The sequence below is a fragment of the Homo sapiens genome, chromosome X (genome assembly GCF_000001405.40).
Source record: "Homo sapiens chromosome X, GRCh38.p14 Primary Assembly".
Lineage (NCBI taxonomy): Eukaryota > Metazoa > Chordata > Mammalia > Primates > Hominidae > Homo > Homo sapiens.
The window spans coordinates 85,355,910-85,380,001 of record NC_000023.11 but is presented as its reverse complement, the minus strand read 5'-3'; the positions used below and the strand labels follow the sequence as shown (position 1 = coordinate 85,380,001).

At 35.5% G+C, this 24,092-nt stretch overlaps 1 protein-coding gene across 3 annotated transcripts in view; it reads left to right on the top strand.

Moving 5' to 3' along the window:
- The window catches only part of POF1B (POF1B actin binding protein), a 102,270-nt gene continuing 78,514 nt past the window's right edge, over positions 337–24,092 (top strand). For all 3 annotated transcript variants that reach the window (XM_005262203.5, NM_024921.4, NM_001307940.2), the window contains exons 1-4: positions 337–363; positions 507–829; positions 12,236–12,310; positions 20,372–20,452. In XM_005262203.5, coding sequence (XP_005262260.1) covers positions 548–829; positions 12,236–12,310; positions 20,372–20,452 — 438 coding nt within the window. In that variant the 5' untranslated portion in view covers positions 337–363; positions 507–547. The remainder of the gene's footprint in view (positions 364–506; positions 830–12,235; positions 12,311–20,371; positions 20,453–24,092) is intronic.

Below are 24,092 nucleotides of genomic sequence, written 5' to 3'. Positions count from 1 at the left end.
CTTAAGAACCATAAAAAGACACTTTCATATAACATGTGTGACTTTTTTTCTCTAGCAAGTTTTTTGCATTTTCATGTCTTTGTGAATTTTTAAGCCCATGTGCTTGGAAACTCTGGCTTCATCCCTGACATTCTACATTTCTGCTCTTCACAGACTCCTTTACCTGCTGGGCAGCCTTGTAGCTATCTCCGTGGCAAGGCAGGGCCTCTCCTGGCATGTAAACCTGCTAAGTGAATCCGCCCCTAAGGGCGTGTCAGTACCATTTCCTGGAGCAATGTCACAGGGTGGCTCCATTTTCCATTTGAGCTCAAATATTTTGCTGCTTCCTCTGTAGCTGCCAGACCTGCTCTTGCTGCTGCTCAGGTAGCTTTCTTCTCTTCCCGGCACCACTATTGGCAGAGGTTTTGATAAGCGGTTTCCACACGTGTGTCGTGTGTCTGTCTGCCTGCCTGACTGCCTGCTTGCCTGTCTTTTTTTTCCATTATATTTCTCTGTTTGTTCCTTAGGTAGAACATCTGGGAGGTCCCTTGCTGACCACTGGAAGAAGATGAGCTCGAGCTATTGGAGTGAGACGAGCAGCAGCAGCTGTGGAACCCAGCAGCTCCCAGAGGTGCTGCAGTGCCAGCCCCAGCATTACCACTGCTACCATCAGTCAAGCCAAGCCCAGCAGCCTCCAGAAAAAAATGTAGTGTATGAGCGAGTGAGGACCTACAGTGGGCCCATGAACAAGGTGGTGCAGGCCTTGGACCCCTTCAACTCACGGGAAGTGCTCTCCCCTCTCAAAACCACCTCCTCCTACCAAAATTTGGTTTGGAGCGACCATTCTCAGGTACAACAAAGAAAGCTATGCCAGACTAGTGGAGAAAGGCAATCTTCAACCTGATTTCTCTTCCTTTCTGCTTCTTTGCCTCTATTCCACAGGATATCTTTTGGTGGATTGCAGTTATATATGCCTTGGATAGTCACCCAAATTCATCTCTTGGCTGTTATTTCACTTACTAGTGTCTGTGGTTGTTTGTTTCCGGGTTTCACTGATTTTCATAATCTAACCATAGTATAGGAAGGCTCATTTTCTGTTTGATCTGACTGAAAGATCTGATCCAAGGAATCCCTTTGCCCCTACTGCAAAGCAGTTCTCAACTTGAGTACAGTAGATTTTTATTAGAACAAGTTCCTACTGATTAATTTCATATCAGAAGCAAACAGGTTTTTTTTGGTATCAAATATGGTGATACAGGTACTGTGGCATGTCTGAGTGATAAGCAATTATTTGTGCTCAGCAAATAGTATAGCTGCTCCAGGATAAGTGAGAGGTGCAGATGTCTGAATTGTCATATGTGTTTCATCTTCCAAGAATGACACACTTTTTATCGTACAGCCTAGGTGAATAATTTATGGAATACTTGTAGAAAGAGTACTGGAAGAGTTGATATAGGATTGAGGAAGGCAAGATGTAAGCAATTGTTACATGAAAGCTACAAAAGATGGAACTCTAAGACATCCCATAAAATGAAATACGTTTGTTTCTTAAGAGTTATTCTTAGCACCAATACCTGTGTTAATAACCTTCCCAATAAATACAAGGTAACCCTGCAAGACTGTATAAAATTAACAGCTTTATGTGTATTTTATCCTCTGACTCCTTTTACATTAAATTTGCATGTTTTAAGCTTTCTGGAAAATTCTGTCCAAACTGAAATTATGTTTTTAAGATACAAAAATCTCAAAAAGCAGTCATTGGGATATGATGCTATGTTACATTATTATTACCAATCAGGAGTAATACATATTATTTTTCCAAAACCCACAAATTTGAGTAGAATATAAAGTAACATTTCTCAACTGGTTGAGAAAAACTCCACTTATACTGAGGTCAAGGAGAAGAAAAATATAAAGGTCATAAATACCAGTTTGCATTAGTGATAAAAATAATGCAAATGTGCACTCCAATATTCATATTGAGATGCTAATGCAGAACAAAATGAATGCCACCTTTGTTTTATTGTAGCTCAAAAACAATGATGTGCAGATTAAAAACAATTACTATTATCTTAGGAATCCTAAAATCATCCTATCTGCCATAGCTATTTAAACATATTTAGACCCCTTTTTTGTCAACTTGCTAGTAAAAGAAACATAAATAGATATTTAAAAGCTGAAATTTGACAAATTATAAATATTGGCTACCGGACAATTTTTAGGAGTATGTTTTATTATTTACTCCTTGGTTCAGCTTCCCCTTTCAATAACTCAGGATCAAGTTGGTTGAGCTTTTTACAAGATTTTCCTTATTTTACCTGGCATTTGCCAAAGTGATCCTTAAAAATGGACTATCTCCTTCCTAAAATGTAGCTCGCCACACAGGAGTTTATAAACAACTTAGGGCTAGAAAGTGCAGCTGCAGAAACTGGGATAAAAGATTAGAATGGAGGGCTCTGTGAAGTCTGAAGTTATTTATTATTGAAAAGGAAGAAAAGTAAGTGCTGTTAGAAAATGAGAAAAGTGAAAGTTAAGCTATGTGGTAAAGGGAAAAAAAGAAGTATTAATTCCTTAGTGAAACAAGAAGAAAGAATATTTGACTATAAATTTTCAAACTGAGTTGGATATCAAAGGGCATTCACAAATCCACTAAAAGAGAACTTGGCAAGACAGCTTTTAGATAGCTGTCACAAAGAATATGATGAGGAAACTCTTCTATTTTATTTTCCTTTCTCCCTGTTTATTGATGGAATGGCATTGTGGCATCATGTAAAGTAGGACCTAGATTTGATCTGAAATTACCTTTATGCTAACGAAATGAGTATAATGTGATGGTATGTATAATGTACCATGACAGGCATGAGCAAGCAGTACATATTACTCAAAAACCCTTAATTCACTTTATGTTTCAATAAAGTCTATCCTTAATAAACCACGTTTCAGATGAGTTGATGTGTAGCAATTAGCCTAATACCAGAGTTTGTGACCATGGCAGCAAGAAAAATTGATTTTACAATCAATGGTTGATCATCATGAATTCAGTTAAACTTTTACTTTGTCTTTGTTTTTGTTTTGTTTTGTTTTGTTTTTTGCCTTTTGGTTTTTGGAAGACATTCAGGGAATTAATGAGATTTTAAAATAAATATTACCAGTAGTAAAATATGTTGCCTTTGAGAAACCAAAATTGATGCTACTCTGCTTTGCTTCCTGAATCATAATTTTAGGTCATGTAGTAGGCATTTTCGATTTAATCAAATGTTTTCTGTAGCACTTTATTTTCCATTTCTAGCTTTTGAGTACATGCTTTTATTCTCTTAACCTCTTGTGCACTAAAATGGTGTTTATGGATATAAACATATTTTAAATTTATCTAGATATATAATGTTACTTTGTTTCTTTAATTAAACATATATTTTATGTTTTTTGGTTATTATTTTGTTTGATTGATAGAGTGTTTCTCAGAGAAAATTAAGTGTAGAAACCAGTTGCTGGTGAAATTTTCTAAATTAATGGTAGAATTAAAATTACTGGGTTTATCTGCATGAACACGTATAGTCAAACACAGATATAATCAAGGTCTCAGATGCATTTTAGAACTGAATGTGGTCTTGCAAATAAATAGAGTTCTAGAAGCTTAAAGTAAAACAAAAATTCTTAGTTCAATCTTTTACAAAGCTTAGCTGTTAACCTACCATCATTAACTCAAAATGAAATGCCTTAAATGAGCAACATTGATATGAATTACTCATTGGGCTAACATTCTTTCCTTCCACTAATTAAGGTTTTCATGAAGTTCGAGGTATTTTTCATGCATACAGAGCAGCTGTATACATGAGAGAGAAAAAATGTGAGAGAGAAAAAATGGATTAAAATAAAATATTTTTAAATACCAGTCATTCACTGAATACATGTTTATTAAGTGCCTATTTTTTAGCAAACACTGTGATTTTCTGGATAAATACCATTAACCTGTCCAGGGAGAGTTCATTTTTAGGACAGACATACAGAGCCTGGTCTGTAGGTGTCCCATGTGTCTATCTATATTTCATTTTAAAGGAGTATTTTGTGTTGTGACCATCAGCATTTTATCAAGTAAAACATGCTTTTGTGAGAGAAGGATTATTTTAGTGTATATGTTATAAGGGTTGCCATTCTTTTGAATTTGAAACTTGCAAAGAAACTCTAGAGAGCAGCCTGGGGGAAAATGTGTGTTTACGAATGACCTCTGTTCTCAACAATTATTCAGCTGGGGCTTACCTTTGTTTATATGATTTTTTTGTGCTTTTTCTTTGGTTGCAAAGATTGTGGATAACTCTTCTCTTCCACTATCAGAAAAGTTTCCCGTTCTGTGGGGAGGGGTGTGCTGCTTTGATAAATTGTTGTTCAAGGGCGTAGTCACTAAAGTGAATGATTGTTCAAGGAAGTGCGCTGCCTGAAAAAAGAATGAGGTCATAGGATAAAGGGGTTGCATTTTCAGCTTTGGTCTCCTCTTTTGTGCTTACAATTAAATGAAGCTATAGAAATTGGAGAGTGCAACTAATTGCTGAGTGAAAATGCCCATGGCAATTGTATCTTGTTTAACGGAGGTCTGATAAATTGCTGGGCCTGTTTTCAGTCAAAGGCACTCATAAGCTGTCACGGTGTGTGTGTGGCAAGATATGAGGGTGGCAAGTGGAAGAGAGGGAAACTGTCCTTTCAAGTTTATTTTCTTGACAATTCATGACAAAACAATTGGGAAATTTGCCATGCTCTTAAGCCCTATTTAAAAGTTAAAACTTTTATTAATAAATATATTTCAGCCAACTTTTTCTTCAGACCAGGGGCTATCCCAGTAGAGGTCATTTTTTGATTTTCAATAAAGTATATATACTCATAATTTTTAAAGACAGAAAGCATGCACTGCAAAAAAGACTGTGTATTTTATTTTCTCTCTGTCTCCTAGTTTTCTTCAGAAAAAGAAGAGAAAGAACCCAATATGGACCTCTTAAATGAGGGATTTGGGTTGGAGAGAAGGAGGAACAGGAAGTAGTTCTATTATACATTCGGTTGCTTTCTTTGTATGACAACAGAAACACAGATTTTATCCTAAATCAAAGAAGTGTTTATTTCATCTAAAGAGAGATTATTATAAATAACATGTTTCTTGCTATATAAGTTGAGTATAACATCTCAACAATAACCTCAGACAGGTGTTTAACTATGTTACATGGCTTTGAAAGATCCTAACAAAAACATCTCCCATACTATTCAGGGAATTTATTCAAATGGAGGTTTGCCTTGGCAAATTCTGTCAGCATAAATGTCAGGTGGTTTTTAAAGATATTGCTTCTTTTGAAACTGTTCAGCCTAGAGTATTTGTAACTCACCATTATTACCTTCAGTGATTCTCATAGTCATTGGGAGTAACAGGAGCATACACAAACCTTCCATGGTTTTCCTTCATGGAATATTATACTGTATATTAGTCTTTATGTAAAGTTTTAAAATTCAAATTAGACAACATAAAGAGTTATACTTTCATGTTAGCAAGTTTCCAAATATTTAGAAACAAAGCCTGCACTACGTATGTAATATTCTCTATGATTTAATTCTCATTACCTTCAGTCTTTCTTGTATGTCTTACACCAGGCTTTTGAGCTCTTTGACCACAGCTATCAACAGGAAAATGAAGCCAACAGGTCTTGACTGAAGAGGTTCAGATTTTGCAGTCTAAAGACCAATTGCAGAGAAAATTGTATGAAGAAAATGCCCAAAAAGGTCTATGTGGAATGTCTCAGGAAGAGCTGTAAATAAATATGCAATCATGAGGTGAACTTTGGCAGAATAGAACTATGAAGCAGTCTAGTTGGAGTCCCTAGGAATATTAATTTTAAAATCTCCACAACTTTAATTACACCTAAGAATATGTTCTCTAGAAAAGTTGCTTAAATTCCCTATACACATCCCATATCACTCCTCTGCTGCAAAAACCTTCAATGACACTAAGTATCTATAAATTGCTTAGTCTGACTTTCAAGGCCCTCCATGTTAGGGCTCCTGTGGAACTTCCTGGAACTCTCCTTCTGGTGTCCTATGTTTTAGCTAAGTGTAAATGATTGTTCTCTAAATAAAGTCCCCAATTTTCCACAGCTATGTCTTTCACTCCATTGCTCTTACATCTGAACTGCTCCTGCTCCTCACCCTCACCAATCTAGACACCCTGAAATTATACAAATTTTTCAAGCCTTTCCTCAAGTGTAACCTTCTGATCCTCTGATTGTCCCAGGTTGAAGTTATCTCTTAGCCCTCAAAACTTACCTAGTGAGCTTCTTATAGGTCTTATGATAGTCTACTTAATTCCTATTTGTACTCATAGTGTTTATGCCCTACATGATTATAACCATGAGAGGGTAGAGATTATATTCTAACATCATTTGTATCTCTTTCAATGCCACTACACAATAAGTAGTAAAGAAACTGCAAGTTAGTAACTTAGTCACATATATAATCAATCCAGTGAAAATAATATTTCATATTAATACATGGGTTTTTTGTTTTTCACAACTCTTCCATGTATATGATTATCTAGTAAACAACTTGATAGAACCTCAACAATTAGATAAAACATGCATTATTATGTTTATTGTACAAATTGTACGATGTACAAATAAAGACAATATTCATTGTGTATTATTTATCTGTTAAACAAATAAGGAAATTGAGACTCGAATAGCTCAAAATAACTTGCCTATTTAGTACAGCTGGTTAGTGAATGCCCTGAGTTTAAAAACCAGCTCCTGATATTTTCATTACATCAGCTATCTCCCTTAATTAACTTTCGATATTCATGATTTCAGTTTAAATTAGTTCACATTTTTTATTTCAACAAAACATTTGATGATTACCCTTACTGTATATTTTCCCATTCTAATGTTCCATTATCAGAATGGAAAATATCAAAAATACATTAGAGGACAAAAATAGTTTTCCCTCTAGTTTTCAAGGTCTTGCTCAGAAATAATCCTAGAATTCAGGGTATATATTAAGTTTTTAAGGTTTTCTTTCTTTCAAAGGAGAATAACACCTTTTGAGCTTCTGCCTTCCCTTCTTTCTTTACTGCACTGAGCTACTCAAAAGCATTTTCACTAAAGTAAATAACTGAGACATTTAGGCCATTTGCACATCATCTGATTTAACTCTGAAAACAGCTTATATATAAAACTGCCCTTTCTGCACATGTACCCCAGAACTTAAAGTATATATATATATAGTATATATAATATAATATATATAAATATGAATAAAATATATTTATATATATATATACTTTAAGTTCTGGGGTACATGTGCAGAAAGGGCAGTTTTGTTACATAGGTATAAACGGGCAATGGTGGTTTGCTGCACCCATCAACCCGTCACCTACATTAGGTATTTCTCCTAATGTTATCCGTCCCCTAGGTCCCCATCTTCTGACAGGCCCCTGTGTGTGATGTTCCCCTGAAAACAGCTTTTTTAACAAATAGGTGGAAATAAGATATACTTTTATGAATAATGAATTCTCTAGGGAAACCAGAGTTTCCTAGCTCAGATTTAGTGTGTACAAAGGTATGGACAATTATCTCAAGTGATGTAATGAAATTATCCCCAAGCCCACATAATTATAAACCAAATTCTTTTTCATTTCTTTTTTTTTTTTTTTTGAGACAGAGTCTCGCTCTGTCGCCCAGCCTGGAGCACAGTGGCACGATCTCGGCTCACGGCAAGCTCTGCCTCCCAGGTTCACGCCATTCTCCTGCCTCAGCCTCCTGAGTAGCTGGGAATATAGGCGCCCGCCACCACACCCGGCTATTTTTTTGTATTTTTAGTAGAGACGGGTTTTCACCATGTTAGCCAGGATGGTCTCGATTTCCTGACCTCGTGATCCGCCCACCTCAGCCTCCCAAAGTGCTGGGATTACAGGCGTGAGCCACCACGCCCGGCCCCAAATTCTTTTTCACCAGACTCTACTTAAAGTTGCCAATAAAGTATAATGTTTGTGTATATAGCAAGTCTGACCCACAGGAATAAACGACTCAACAAAATGCTGAATATTTTATCAGAAAAAGTAAGGTCTTCCTGCAAAATTGAAGAGATTAGATGATATGAGCATTAAACAAAAATTCAATGGTTTATTGAGTTTTAGAGGCTTGTGAGTACACTCTGTAAATGTACCACGCGTTTTACAAATTCTATTGAGTTTATGGAAACTTAAATTATCTAATCAAGGCTGTTCTCTCACACAGCTACTTGTGGGTGGGTGTCTTATTTTCAGGCCTCCAAAGTTGCTTTTGACACTGAATAATTTTAAAAGTCCCAGTATTTGACCTTCTGTTATAAGGACTAGTCAAACTTAACCATATAATTAGGTTACACAACTTGAAAAACAGAAAATATAATGAAGCAAGCAATAAACGTGGCAAAATATGGTGATTAAGAGCATGAGTTCTGGAGTCATGCTGAGTTGGAATTCCAGCACCTTAGCATTAGCTGTGTAATCTCCATCTGGTTACCTATCCTACCTCTGTCTAACTTCACTTGTTTATGTAATGGGGTTATAATAGTATCTTCTTTATGGGGTTATTTTGAGTGTTAAAGAGAATGATCTATGTAACATGTTTGGCACAGAAAGCTATTAATAGGTGTTAGTCATCATTATAATCATCATCAAAAGGAAAACAATACTGACAAGTTTAAAAAATTTGAAATTGTTTTGTTTGTATGGAAAAATAAGTTGGGAATGGTCTCTTATATTCACAGAACGTCAGAAACAAACTTAAAGATCCTCTAATCCACACTCGCCCACACCCATATCCCATTTCTCATTTCTCACATGAGGAAACAAATCTCAGAGAGAGAACATGAGTTGACCAGTATTACAAAAGTGGCTAGTAGTATAAATGGGAATAAAATCCAGGTCTGCTGACTCCAAGTCTAGCACTTTTTCCACTATGTCATGATAACCACCACCACCCCATTATCGCCTTCAATTATTTGGTCATCAGGAATGTGGGGCTGTGGCACAAAAGGCATAAAAACAAAAACATTGACTGTTCATTGAATTTAATAGTTTCAACATGAAGGATTTAGGTAAGCTATACACAGATGAGTAACAAAATTAAACACTGACTGATACAGGTTATTAAGAGGGAGATTTGGATTGTTATTCCTGGAGTGCTTTTAAAACTAAGATCTCCTTTTCATTCATTCTTTCAAAAATATTTTGGATCACTTTCTATGGAATGGTCAATGGCTATTTATGGGATGACTTGCTGCAATCTTGCCTAGATCTTGATGCCATTGAAAGTACCTTTCAACATCAAGGTTTTGTTCATTCTGGACATTTACTCACACCATCTTACTTAATTTTGTAGACTTCCAGGGAAAAGGGGTTTTCTTTAGCAAGTATTTCTGGAATTAATAAACCTATTTTCAGAGAGGTTTTCCCCCTTATGATCAGCCTAAATCCATACTGATGCAATTTAAATTCATGCTGTTCAACACCATATGTCTAAATATCTTTGACTCATATTAAGCTACATCTTAATGTTGTAATTTTTGAACCTATTATATTTGTTCTCTAATGTTTCCATGAGGGTTGCGTGGGAAAGCCACATTTGTCTAGATGATCAATTTTAATAATGAAGGCTGAAGTAGGGCTAAAAATAATTGAGTACATTATAATCTATGGACTTAATGTTCCAGCTTTCCACATATAAGAAGATTAAAGAATTCCTTCATTTTAGGGCAAGACTAGTCTTTGCTCAAATACAACTGTTTGCCATTTAAACATCTATTATCTTAACATCTGAATAAAGTAATACTGCTTATACTAGCATAAATAAATGTCTTTATCTGTGATGTGTGATGTGTGTGTATTCCTATTTGTTTAAATTTCTGCAGATTTATAAAACTTCTTAGTACGCTTTTGTATCTTAAAAGCTAGTCCAGTTGGCTAGTAAGATTTGCTATGTTTCATTTGCTAATGCCATCATATTTGAATTGGTTACAAGAAGGACAGAGCTATCATTTCTACAACAGCTACCAGATACTAACCATGTGTATAGTTGTCTTCTCAGAATGATACTAGTATAATATTATTAGCCCCAGCCTAAACAGACCAAACATCCTCTAGACATGAATACCTTCACACACTGCTGGTGGATGTATAATTATCATAGTCAAATTTGGGAAATTAGTTGGGCAGTATCTGTTCAAATGAATAACACACATACTCCATGCCCCAGCAATCCCAATTCTGTGTGGGATTCTAAAGAAACATGTTGCACAAGGATGCTCATTGCAGCACAGTGGAAACCTGGAAACAATATAAATGTTAATCAGCAGGAAAACATAAAAACAAGCTATAAAGCAAGCATTTTGGAATACTATTAATTGAAAATAATGAGTTAAAACATGTATCTAGTACATAATACAAGAGATACTGTTTGGTTTAAGTTGTAGAACAATGAAAGCAATAATATTACTATTTATACATAGGTATATATGTAAAGACATCTTAACTGACAACAATAGTCACTTCTGGGTAAGTGAATGGAGGAAAGATGGTCAAGAGAAGGTCTTTAACCTTATCTATATAAATGTTTATATTAAGAATGTGTTCATGTGTTATTCCATAACTAAAGAGCACCCCTCTTTTTTCTTGTCTTCTTGAATCTGCTCCTCTTGGGTCTGTGGGCCAAACCTGCCTGCACATGGTTGTATTTATAACCATTTTCCTAAACTGGATAATGTGTACCTGTTTTGTCTATAATCTGTAATTCTCTGCATTTGTCTGAGCAAGTCTTCTCAATTATTAGCAGAAAATCTGAGAATATATGCAAAAGATTCCTAGAAATACTGAGCCTGCAGTATTGCTGTTGATATAAAGGGTGGTGGAGGATGAAAATGTTACAAGTTCAACAACAGCAACAACAAGAAAGAATTCAGAACATTTGGCAGTTTGAGTAAATGCATAGTCCTGTTTTAAGAATACATGTAACACCTACATTATAGCTATAGTTCTGTATGAGTCTGTCAGTGTTTCCCTTGTAAATTAATGATTCTGATTTTTAATAGTTCCCTTGTTCTACAGAAAAAATATTTATACCTTTGTAGGAAGATATAATGGAGTCGTGCCAATTGATTGTAAATTATGGTAAGGTATGGGGAGATTGAGTAACGCCATCATTTCTTTGCACACTAATGAAGTGATTGCAGTTTTGTTGGTTTTGAGGAAATATGTAAACAATGCCAGCATGATGGACAGATTGATCATTTTATTGGACCATTTTAAAAAATTATATTCTTTCACTTTTACAGATTATTTTAACAACAGAGCCTACTCTGAAATTAGACTAGAAGCAGAATAGACAAAGCATAATTAAGAGTTAGCTTGAAGTGATTTAAAATTAATTACTCTTAGTTGCATTTTCAAAGGTAGTTTGAAATTTACTCTTAAATTTACTCTTCAAACTACCTTCTTCAAAGGTACTTTAAAATTTACTCTTAAAATTACTCTTAGTTGAGTTTTCAAAGGTAGTTTCTTATATTGGTTTGAGAATTATTTTTTCTAAGTTTTATTTTATTTTTAAAATTTTGGGCACATAGTAAATGTGTATATTTATGGGGTGCATAAGATGTTCTGATACAGGCATGCAACGTGAAATAAGCACATCATGAAGAATGGGATGTCTATCTCTTGGTTTGATAATTATTAAATTTTACATCATTTTATGAGAAATTATTTAATGAGTACAATGTACACTGTTCGGTTGATGGTTACTCTAAGAGCCCAGACTTCACCACTATGCAAAATATCCATGTAACAAAACTGCACTTGTACTCCTTAAATTTATAAGAATTTTAAAAAAGAAATAGAACAAATACTGAAAGAAAAGTTTTGTTTGTAAAATATTATATCTTGCTAATTGCAAACATATAATAACATTGGGGTGTATATGAATGCAGAGTTCTTGAAGCAGAAACAAAAAGAATGCAACCTAACAGTACAAGTAGAATGTATTGCTATGAAAGCACTCTAGAAACTCTTTTATCATTGGGTTATGTGAGAAGACAACAAAGTAATTTAGTTCTTTGGAAAGATGGATATTATCTAAGAAAGCACTAAATAATGCTCTTATTTCTGACTAACCACATTATTATAAAAATAAAGAAAAAATACCATGAGAACTTAAGACTTTCAAATAATTTCTGAACTCCCTTTTGTTTCTCTTAACAGGAACTCCATTCTCCAACTTTAAAAATATCTACATGTGCCCCAAGTACTCTACATATAACCCAAAATACTGAACAGGTAAAAGAAGTTGTGAATTACATTAGATTTGTTCCTCTTTTTTATATGGAAGTCTTCTTCATGTATGTAAGCAATCTTTAGACCCCCATAAGACTTTACACATTCACACCATGTGAGGATCATAAAATATGAAAGAGGATTCTCACATATGAGTATCACCTCAGCCCATAAAAGTAATGTGAAACAAGTGCTATGAATCAGCTTCTTCTGTTTCATTGCCTGTTCAATCTGACTGCTTTTAGTTTGAGTGCAGTTTAATTTAGCCAAGTGAGTATGGATGAAATAGCTAGATCTCAGATTGATTGAAGACTTGGCTTTATGAGTGATAGTATTATGAGTTCATATTCAGAGAGAATAACTTATAGGGTCATAACTAACTCTTCTTATAGGTGTATGATTTGAAAGACACACAAGGATCTATTTCCTTAGCCTTTATGGCCTAATAGTCCCACTTTTAGGTTTATTCTTGAATCTAGGCATTGTGTATCCAAAAGGTAGCTATAATAATAAACACATATTGAAATATGTGTTTCATTAAGTAATTGCCATATATCAAAAAGTAAATTCGAAGAAAGAAAAACATAAAGCACGCTAAGTTTGTTGTTACACGAAAGAGGAGTAAAGGGGTTATGGGATTTAAAGGGTAGGAAGGCGGGAGATGCTGTTTAAAAAAACAATCTGACCCAGATGCGGGGTCAGGATGTGAACTTGGACAGTGAGGAGACAAATGAACAAAAACTGGTCTTTAGTCCTTGAGCATAGCAAGGAAAATATGATATTATGCAGAAAAATAAGAAGATTATCAAAGAAAAGTTTCCCTACCACTTCTCAGTTTGGTCTAGATTAGAGTTAGGTCAATTAGAGTAATGCACTTACTCAGCTTACATTTGCCGAACACCAAGTATGTGCCACATATTGCACAAAGGTAAATTAGACACAATCACTATTTTCAAGGAGCTCACAGACTAGCATGGGCCACATACATAACAAACCATTGGACAGTGGGATAAAGGTTATAATTGACTTAGAAATGCAGCCCTATAGGACCAACAAAGTGAGATTGATTCACTTAAATCACAGGGGTGTTGACTACAGTCAAATCCAGTCAAAAAATTGTATTATCTATTTTATTTTTCATAATTAAGGGTTTTAAAATTGGGTTTACTGTACATATTATTTCTGATAATGAAAATATGTGTTTGTTGTAGTAAATTTTAGAACTATTAAAAAATATAAAGAAGCAAAAACAAAAATCACTCATGATTCCTTCCCCCACCTAGAGATTACTACTCTTTATATTTTGTTGTGTTTTCTTCCATTCAAATACAAAATTGAGTTTATACCATATATACAGTTTTATATCCCCATTTTCTCACTTATATGATATTATGAGCTTTTAATATAAATTTGTATTATTCAAGATCATTATTTAATGGCTACATATTCCAGCCTATGGATGATTATTCAATCTTCCCCCTCTCCATAAGAGAATACCTGCCCTGCTGAACCTTCATCAGCATTATTTTTCAAATTTTCCAGTAAAAATATGGCATTCTTCTGCTATGTTTGATTCCTAGTTTGGCTGAACACTTTTTGTTAAGTTTATTAACCATTTGCTTTTATTTTTTATAAATTGTTCATGTCATTTGCTCATTTTTCTATAAGTGTGATTTTGTTCTCATTGATATATAAGAACTCTCTTTATATGGATGATATGAACTCTTTTCCCTGCCATGGAACCCCTCACCTGCTCATTACCAGGCAGGGAACCCCCGACTTAGGCCTACAGCACAGAACCCCCATCCCGGGCTGATAGCACTGAGTGACTGCTGACCTGTATCTCCCTGGGTGGAGCTCCCAGGAGACAAGTAAAAGACCTTTGGCCACAACCACTGCTAAGGTCCTCTCTGCTGCCTCCAAGTTGAGGAGAAAACAAACACTGATATCGCCATAGAGCTGTAATGGACATCCCTGGAGTGCCAAGCCACAGTCTACAGCCAGCACTCAAGTGGGAGAGGAGCCCACACTTTCAGGGCATTGAGAGGGAGCATAGCTGCAACTGTGAGGAAATAACAGAGGAGCAACAGGACAGAGCAAGAGCCTACCAACAGACCACTATGTCTAAGCGCCACCTATTGGATCACAACCCAAAGCTTCAACAACAATACCTCACTAACATAGCCCCCTGTGAAACCAAAGACAAGAAGTCAGCTATTTAGACCCTGCACAAAACCTCAGCCCTGTGAAGACATACAAAAAAGAAGTCTATTGACTGTAGTCAACCTACACTGCAGTTAAAGGAACACCCACACACAGAGATAAGAAAGAACCAATGCAAGAACTCTGGCAACTCAAAAGGCCAGAGTGGCTTATGTCCTCCAAATGATCACACTTGTTCTTCAACAAGGGTTCTTAACCAGCCTGAACTGGCTGAAATAACAGAAATAGAATTCAGAATATGGATAGAAATAAAGATCATTGAGATTTAGGAGAATGGCAAAACCCAATCTGAGAAAACTAATAATCACAATAAAATGATACAAAAACCAATACATGGAACAGCTAGTAAAAAAAAGAACCTAACTGATCTGATAGAGCTGAAAAAACACACTAGAAGAATTTCACAATGCAATCACAAGTATTAAAAGGAGAATACATCAAGCCAAGGAAAGAATCTCAGGAACTGAAGACTGGCTCTCTGAAATAAGACAGTCAGACAAAAATAAAGAAAAAAAAGAATGAAAAGGAATGAACAAAATCTCTGAGGAATATGGGATTATGTAAACAAGCTAAATCTATGAAATATTGGCAACTCTGAAAGGGACAGGGAGAAAGCAAAATTTTGGAAAACACATTTGAGGATATGGTCCATGAAAACTTCCCTAGCCTTGCTAGAGAGGCTAACAGTCAAATTTAGAAAATACAGAGAACCATGCAAGATTCTACACAAGAAGATCATCCTCAAGACACATAATCAGCAGATTTTCCAAGGTTGAAATGAAAGAAAGAATGTTGACAGCAGCTAGAGAGAAAGGGCAGGTCACTTATAAAGGAAAGCCCATCAGGCTAACAGTGGACCTCTCAGCAGAAACCCTGCAAGCCAGGAGAGAGTAGAGGCCTATATTCAACATTATTAAAGAAAAAAAATCATCAAACAAGGATTTCATATCCAGCCAAACTAAGCTTCTTATGCAAAGGAGAAATAAGATTATTTTCAGATAAGCAAATGCTAAGGGAGTTTGTTACCATCAGACCTGCCTTGCAAGAGATCTTGAAAGGAGCACTAAACATGGAAAGTAAAGATCATTACCAGTCAATAGAAAAACATACTTAAGTGCACAGATCAGTTACATTATAAAGCAGCCACACAAACAAGCCGGCATAATAACCAGTCAACAAAATAATAACAGAATCAAATGCACACATTTCAATACCAAAGTTGAATGTAAATGGACTAAACACCTCAGTTAAAAGGCACAGAATGGCAAGCTGGATGAAGAACCAAGACTCCCCCTAAAAAATGCTGTCTTCAAGAGACCCATCTCACTTACAATGACACCCATAGGCTAAAAGTAAAGGGATGGAGAAAAATCTACCAAGAAAATGAAAAAAAGAAAAAAGCATGGGTTGCAATTATAATTTCAGACAAAACAGACTTTAAGAAAGATTTTTAAAAAGACAAAGAAGGGCATTACATAATAGTAAAGATTTCAATTTAACAGGAAGACTTAACTGTCCTAAATATATATGCACCCATCACAGGTGTACCAAGATTCATAAAGCAAGTTCTTAGAGACCTACAAAGAGATGCAGACTCCCATGCGATAATAGTGGGAGACATCAACACTCCACTGAAAGGATCAGACAGCTCATCAAGGCAGAAAATTAACAAAGATACTCAGGTCCTGAACTCAAGATTTGACCAAATATATCAGATAGACCTCTACGGAACTCTCCTCTCCAAAACAGCATAATATACATTCTTCTCATCATCACGTAGCACATACTCTAAAATCCACCAAACAATCAGATATAAAACAATCTTCAGGAACTGCAAGAGAACTGAAATCATACCAAACACCTTCTTGGACCAAAGCACAATAAAAATAGAAGTCAAAGTTTTAAAAATCGCTGAAAACCATGCAATTACATGGAAATTAAACAACATGCTCTTGAGTGACTTTTGGGTAAATAATGACATTAAGGCAGAAATCAAGAAGTTCTTTGAAACTAATGAGAACAAAGATACAACATACCAGAATCTCTGGGATGCAGCTAAGGCAGTGTTAAGAGGGAAATTTATAGCATTAAACACCCACAACCAGAAGTTAGAAAGACCTCAAATTAACAACCTAACATCACAACAGAAAGAATTAGACAATGAAGAGCAAACCAAACCCAAAGCTAGCAGAAGACAAGAAATAACCAAATCATTGCTGAACTCAAGGAAATTGAGATGCAAAAAAAAATTCAAAAGATCTACAAATCCAGGAGTTCGTTTTCTCAAAAAATTAATAAGGCAGATATGCTGCTGGCTAGACTAATAAAGAAGAAAAGAGAGAAGATCCAAATAAACACACTTAGAAATGACAAAGGGGATGTTACCACTGACCTCAGAGAAATAAAAATTACCATTAGAAACTGCTACAAACACCTCTATGCATACAAACTGAAAAACCTAGTAGAGATGGGTGAATTCCTGGACACATTTTTCCTCCCAAGACTGAAGCAGGAAAAAAATTGAATCTCTGAGCAGACCAATAATGAGCTCCAAAATTGAATCAGTAATAAATAGCCTAACAACCAAAAAAAGCCCAGGACCAGATGGATTCACAGCCAAATTCTACCAGATGTACAAAGAAGAGATGGTACCATTCATATTGAAAGTACTACAAAAAATTGAAGAGGTGGGACTCCTCCCCAAATCATTTTATGAGGCCAGCATCATCCTGATACCAAAACCTGGCAGAGACACAACAAAAAAAAGAGAAAGCTTCAGGCCAATATCCTTGATGAGCATTGATGCAAAAATCCTCCACCAAATACTTGCAAACTTAATCCAGCAGCACATCAAAAAACCAATCCACCACCGTCAGATAGGTTTCACTTCTGGGATGCAACACTGGTTCAGCATTCACAAATCAATAAATGCTATGCATCACATAAACAGAACTAAAGACAAAACCACATGATTATCTCAATAAATGCAGAAAGGCTTTTGATAAAATTTAACATTGCTTCATGTTAAAAAGTCTCAATAAACTAGGTATTGAAGGAACATACTTTAAAATAATAAGAGCCATATGTGACAAACCTATAGCCAACATCATAGTGAAAGGGAAAAAGCTGGAAGCATTCCGCTTGAAAACTGGCATAAGACAAGGATGCCCTCTCTCCCCACTCCTATTCAACATAGTATTGGGAGTCCTGGTCAGAGCAAACAGGTAAGAGAAAGAAATAAAGAACTTTAAAATAGAAACAGAGGAAGTCAAACTATCCCTGTTTGCAGTTGACATGATTCTATATCTAGAAACTCCCATAGTCTTGGCCAAAAACTACCTTAAGCTGATCAACAACTTCAGCCAAATTTCAGGATACCAAATCAATGTGCAAAATCACTAACATTCTTATACACGGACAACAATTATGCCAAGAGCAAAATCAGGAATGCAGTCCCTTTCACAATTGCCACACACACACATACACACACACACACACACACACACACACACACACGAAATACCTAGGGATACAGCTAACTAGTGAGGTGAAAGATCTCTACAATGAGAATTACAAAACACTGCTCAAAGAAATCAGAGATGACACAAACATGGAGAAACATTCCATGCTCATGGATAGGAAGAATCAATATTGTTAAAATCACCATACTGCCCAAAGCAATTTATAGATTCAATGCTATTCCTATTAAACTACCAAGGATATTCTTCACAGAACTTGAAATAAAACTATTTTAAAATTCATATGGAACAAGAAAAAGAGGCCAAATAGCCAAGGCAATCATAAGCAAAAAGAACAAAGCTGGAGACATCACGCTACCCAACTTCAAACTACTACAGGGCTACAGTAACCAAAACAGCATGGTACTGGTACAAGAACAGACACATAGACCAAGGGAACAGAATAGAGAGCGCAGAAAAAAGGCCGCACACCTACAACTATCAGATCTTTGACCAAGCTGTCAAAAACAAGCAATGGGGAAAGGACTCCCTATTCAATAAATGGAGCTGGGATAACTGGCTAGCCATATGCAGAAGATTGAAACTGGACCCCTTCCTTACACCATATACAAAAATCAACTCAAGATTGACTGATTACAGTCTTAAATGTAAAACCCCAAACTCTAAAAACCCTGGAAGACAACCTAAGCAATACCATTCTGGACATAGAAACAAAATGTCAAAAGCAATCCCAACAAAAGCAAAATTGACAAATAAAATCTAACTTAACTAAAGAGCTTCTGCACGTTAAAGGAAACTATCAACAGAGTGAAACGAAAACCTATAGAATGGGATAAAATATTTGTCAACTACACATTTGACAAGTCTAATATCCAGCATCTATAAGGAACTTGCACAAATTTACAAGAGAAAAGCAAACAACCCGATTAAAAAGTAGGCAAAGGACATGAACAGACACTTCTCAAAAGAAGCCATACATGTAACCAACAAGCATATGAAAAGAAACTCAATATCACTGATCATTAGAGAAATGCAAGTCAAAACCACAATGAGATTCCACCTCGTAACAGTCAGAATGACTATTATTAACAAGCCAGAAGAAAATAAAACCTAACAGATGCTGGTGAGGCTGTGGAGAAAAGGGAAAGCTTATACATTGTTGGTGGGAGTGTAAATTAGCTCAACCATTGTGAAAAGCAGTGTGGCAATTCCTCAAAGGGCCAAAAATAGAACTACCCTTTTACCAGCAATCCCCTTACTGGGTATACAACCCAGCAATCCCATTACTGGGTATATATCCTAAGGAATATAAATCATTCTACCATAAAGACACATGTACATGAATGTTCATTGCAACACTGTTCACAAAGGCAAAGATATGAAATCACTATGCCCAATAATGACAGATTGGATAAAGAAAATGTGTATATATGTATATATATATATATATATATATATATATATACATACCATGGAATACTAGGCAGCCATAAAATAGAATGAGATCATGTCTTTTGTGGGAACATGGATGGAGTTGTAGGCTATTAAACTTAGCAGACTTACACAGGAACAGAAAACCAAATACCGCATGTTCTCACTTATAAGTGGGAGCTAAATAATGAGAAATCATGGACACAAAAAGGGGAACAATACACACTGGCCCACACTTAAGAATGCAGGGTTGGGGGAGGGAGAGGATTAGTAAAAATAACTACTGGGTACTAGGCTTAGTCCATGGGTGATGACATAATCTGTACAACAAACCCCTGTGACGTGAATTTACCTATATAACAAACCTGCATATGTTCTCCTGAACCTCTAACAAAAGTTAAAAATAATAATAAATAAATAAATAATAAATAAATCTACATGAACCCCCCAAAAAAACTCTTTTCCCATCAACATTTTACAGTGATATCTATGGTCCTCTCTTTCCAGCACACTGAGGATTTATATGTTTAACTACACACACATACACGTTTTTCTCTTTATGTCTCTTTTCATTTTTTTTAACATGTCTTTTCCAAACCAGAGGTTTAATTCATCAACTATTGAGGTATTATTTTCTTGTAATCATTTACAATGAAAGAAGCATTTTAAAATGCTTGTCAAATATAGTTTGGAATGTGGATGAAATACCATGAAATGAGTATAATACGAGTACCCAGTAAAATGTTGGGCACAGAACACATGCTTTTATACATGTTTCTGAAATTAAAATTAACTAAATCATAAAATCATACATTATCATTCATGCAAATAACTAAAAATTTAACCCTGGAAATTGTTCCCTATTATTATTGATAGCTCCAAGCTCATTAAATAACTATGATTATATCCAGCTTTTGTCTTTTCTTCACAGGAACTTCATTCTCCAACAGTGAAACTTACTACATATCCACAGACCACTATTAGGAAATATGTAGTACAAAATCCTGAACAGGTAAGACACCAACTTTTACCAACATATAATTCTTTAGAAGTTAATTGCTTAAACAAAAAGGCTTAATCAGTTACCAGATCCTTAAGATCAGATTGTTGGACTTTCTTACAGTTACAAAGTAAATTGCTGATTATCAGTATCAATAAATGCCATCTTTAATGCCAAACAACCATGAGTCTATATATTCTGACTCAGAGATGCAATACTTCCAAGCAGGTTGGAAATTCTTGGGTTGTAAAGATTTTCCTCTTCTATAGCCCCACCCTTATGCTACAAAAGACTTTTATGCACTTTGAACGAAAGAAAAAAGGGACAAAGTTCTTTTACAAGCTTCACATAAAAGCTCTGTCAACTGCTGCACCAGGGGTTGGAGTTTTCAGGCTATTTACCTTTGCCATGGAGATATGGACTAGGAAGATGAAAATTAAAGGTCAAAGGTTAAAAAGTGTCCCTATGCCTTTATTGCCTGTGGTGTGTGAACTTTTGTACCCAGCAATGAGTTTTTTAGAAAATTACATTTTTTTACTGAGATATAAATCCTTACATTTCACAAACTAAGATTCCACCTTAATAAGCCTCTTTCCATTATTGAAGAATGAAACAAATTTCAAGTTTCATGATGCTTTGTAAACGAAAAGTAATCTAACTTGTTTTACAAAGCAGCTTGAAAATCCTGTTTAGCTATACTCCCCATTTAATTTATCTAAGTAGATTCCTTTTTTGTTTGCTCTTTTAAATCCCCTCAGGAGAAGATTCTAGTTTAATTACAATATTTATAATAAGCTGAGCCTTCTAAATAGCAATTTCATCCTCTTTCACCTCCCAGCTTGTCTAATCTTTATTTCTTTTTCCTGTCATTAAAATAATCTCAGTCCAATTGTTGCATTATGATTTTTTTCTATCTCTGTTAAGCCTTTTTATCTTTTTGTTGTTCCTGATCTTCCTTAGTCTCCATTTGTCATCATTTAATCTAAGGATTTATGCATTCTGGTTAACATTTGATCCAGAAATGAAGGAAATACCTTTGTTCCATTAGTGGACATAATCCAATTAGTACTAATCAATTTCATTAATTTTCCAGTTGTGGAGCTCCTGCTATGGGGAAGACACTATACAGTCTCTCAATAGAAACAGGGAAATAAGGCATGTTTCCCCAATTAAAGGAGCATACAGCTCTTCTCAAGGAAAGAGATAAGACAGGTCCACAAATAGCTATGTAGAATACATGGTGAGATGTAGGATAGATGCCGTGAAAGGACCACAGATAAATTATTATTGGAGTTCAGATGTCGGAGATAATACATTTGTTTGAGGGAAATCAGGGAAGGATTTATTGTGGTGTTTAAGGTATTAGTATGATTAACCTTGATATTAGCATTGTTTTACTACTAAGGAAATGAAAGTTTGAATAAGCGTAACTTGCTCAGGTCTTCTGATGCTAATTCATCACTCTCTATCTTTTCTGGAAGCTATTTTAGATGGTAGCTTTAACAAGATTCGATGACTTACTGGATATGGGGAAAAGTCAACATGACCCTAAGCTTTTTAGCTTGAGACACTGAGAGTAAGGTGACCCACTTAGAGTGATTGAAAAGTGAGTGGGAGGAGAAGTAGATTTAGAAAAGGGTGAAATTTTGAGTTTTATTTGAACCAGTAGCATTTTAGGTGCATTTTTAACTAACAGGCAGTTAAAAAACGACTCAAAGAAAGGTCACATTTAACAGAGATGTGGGAATCATTCCTCTTAAAGGTATCATTGAAGCTATGGGAATGAGTGAGATCACTAAGAGGTAATGGAGAAGGTTGGGTCAGAACCTTGAGAAATGTCTACTTTAAGTGAATAGAAGGAAGGAACCACTTTCACAGACAGAGGGGTTATCAGAGAGGGATGTGAACACACCATAACAGAGGCAAATGCAAACATGGGGTGGTCAACCGTCTCAAATGACCAAAAGGCATAAGAAGATGAGGTTTGAGAATAGGGTTTGACCATTAAGAAAGTGATAGTGACATTGATAGAGCAGTTTTGGTATACTTATGGAGGCAAAATCCAGATGCAAGAAGTTAATGGGTGAGAAGATGAGATGAATTGAAAAAAATGAGTGAAGATTACTCTTCTGGAAGGGTATTGGTCAAAGAAAGGAGAGATGGATGGTCGCTAAAGGAGAAATGAGAATCTTGTGAACCTGGGAAACTTGTAGATAGAAAGAACCAGTAATAAGGAAGGCTAAAGATGCAACAGAGAAAGGAGACAAATGGGATAATATTCTGGAAGAGATAAGAAGGAATGGGATTCCAGATACAGATGGAGAAATGACTTCAGGAAAAACAAAGAGAGAGAATGTATCTTTTTCCTTAAGTGGATGGAAGGAGCAGAAAAGAGGGATTTTTGAGATGTGCAGGAAAATAGAGAGATCTCACTGGATAGATTATCTTGGTTGTCTCTGTAAATAGGAGGAGAAAGAGGGAGTATAAGCACAGGAGTTGAGGAAAATGAAAATATTTGTAAGCAACGTAGTAAAGAATTTGATGAATACAAATGTAACCACAAAGGTTGAAGGGTCTACTTCAAGTTGGATATCTTCAAACTCTAATGAGCCAAATCAGCAAATCTTTTTTAAAAAAGTTTCTTCCACCAAGATTTTGGGGCCTGGGAACCGTAAAGTAGATGTTGGGGATTATATACTTTGTTAGATGTGAGAATTACTACCAGAGGTTCTAGCTGTTACAATTAACATTATAAGATCTGCCACTTTGAAAACACCTATTAATTTTTAGGGTGGATCTGGCACCAATTCAAATGGACAGGTTGAGAAAAAGAAGGTGCCAAAATAGTAGAATTGTCTAGCAGCTCATTTGTTGAGACATCTAAAACGTCTGATTAAATTTATTTTGTTGACTTATTTTGACAGAATTGTTTATTTAAATCAATTTTTGATTTACTTCCTTACAGATTTGGGGAAAGTAATTGTCCTCTAAATTTGGAGGTTTTTTTTTTCAGTAAGACATTTCAAGTAATATGGCGAAAATATTCCAGACAGAATCAACATCGTTAGTGCCTAGACAATCTTTTTTCTTTTTTTTTCTTTTTTTATTATACTTTAAGTTCTAGGGTACATGTGCACAATGTGCAGGTTTGTTACATATGTATACATGTGCCATGTTGGTGTGCTGCACACATTAACTCGTCATTTAACATTAGGTATATCTCCTAATGCTATCCCCCCCTCCCTCCACCCCACAACAGGCCCCAGTGTGTGATGCCCCCCTTCTTGTGTCCAAGCGTTCTCATTGTTCAATTCCCACCTATGAGTGAGAACATGCGGTGTTTGGTTTTTTGTCCTTGCAATAGTTTACTGAGAATGATGGTTTCCGGCTTCATCCATGTCCCTACAAAGGACATGAACTCATCGTTTTTTATGGCTGCATAGTATTCTATGGTGTATATGTGCCACATTTTCTTAATCCAGTCTATCATTGATGGACATTTGGGTTGGTTCCAAGTCTTTGCTATTGTGAATAGTGCCGCAATAAACATATGTGTGCATGTGTCTTTATAGCAACATGATTTATAATCCTTTGGGTATATACCCAGTAATGGGATGGCTGGGTCAAATGGTATTTCTAGTTCTAGATCCCT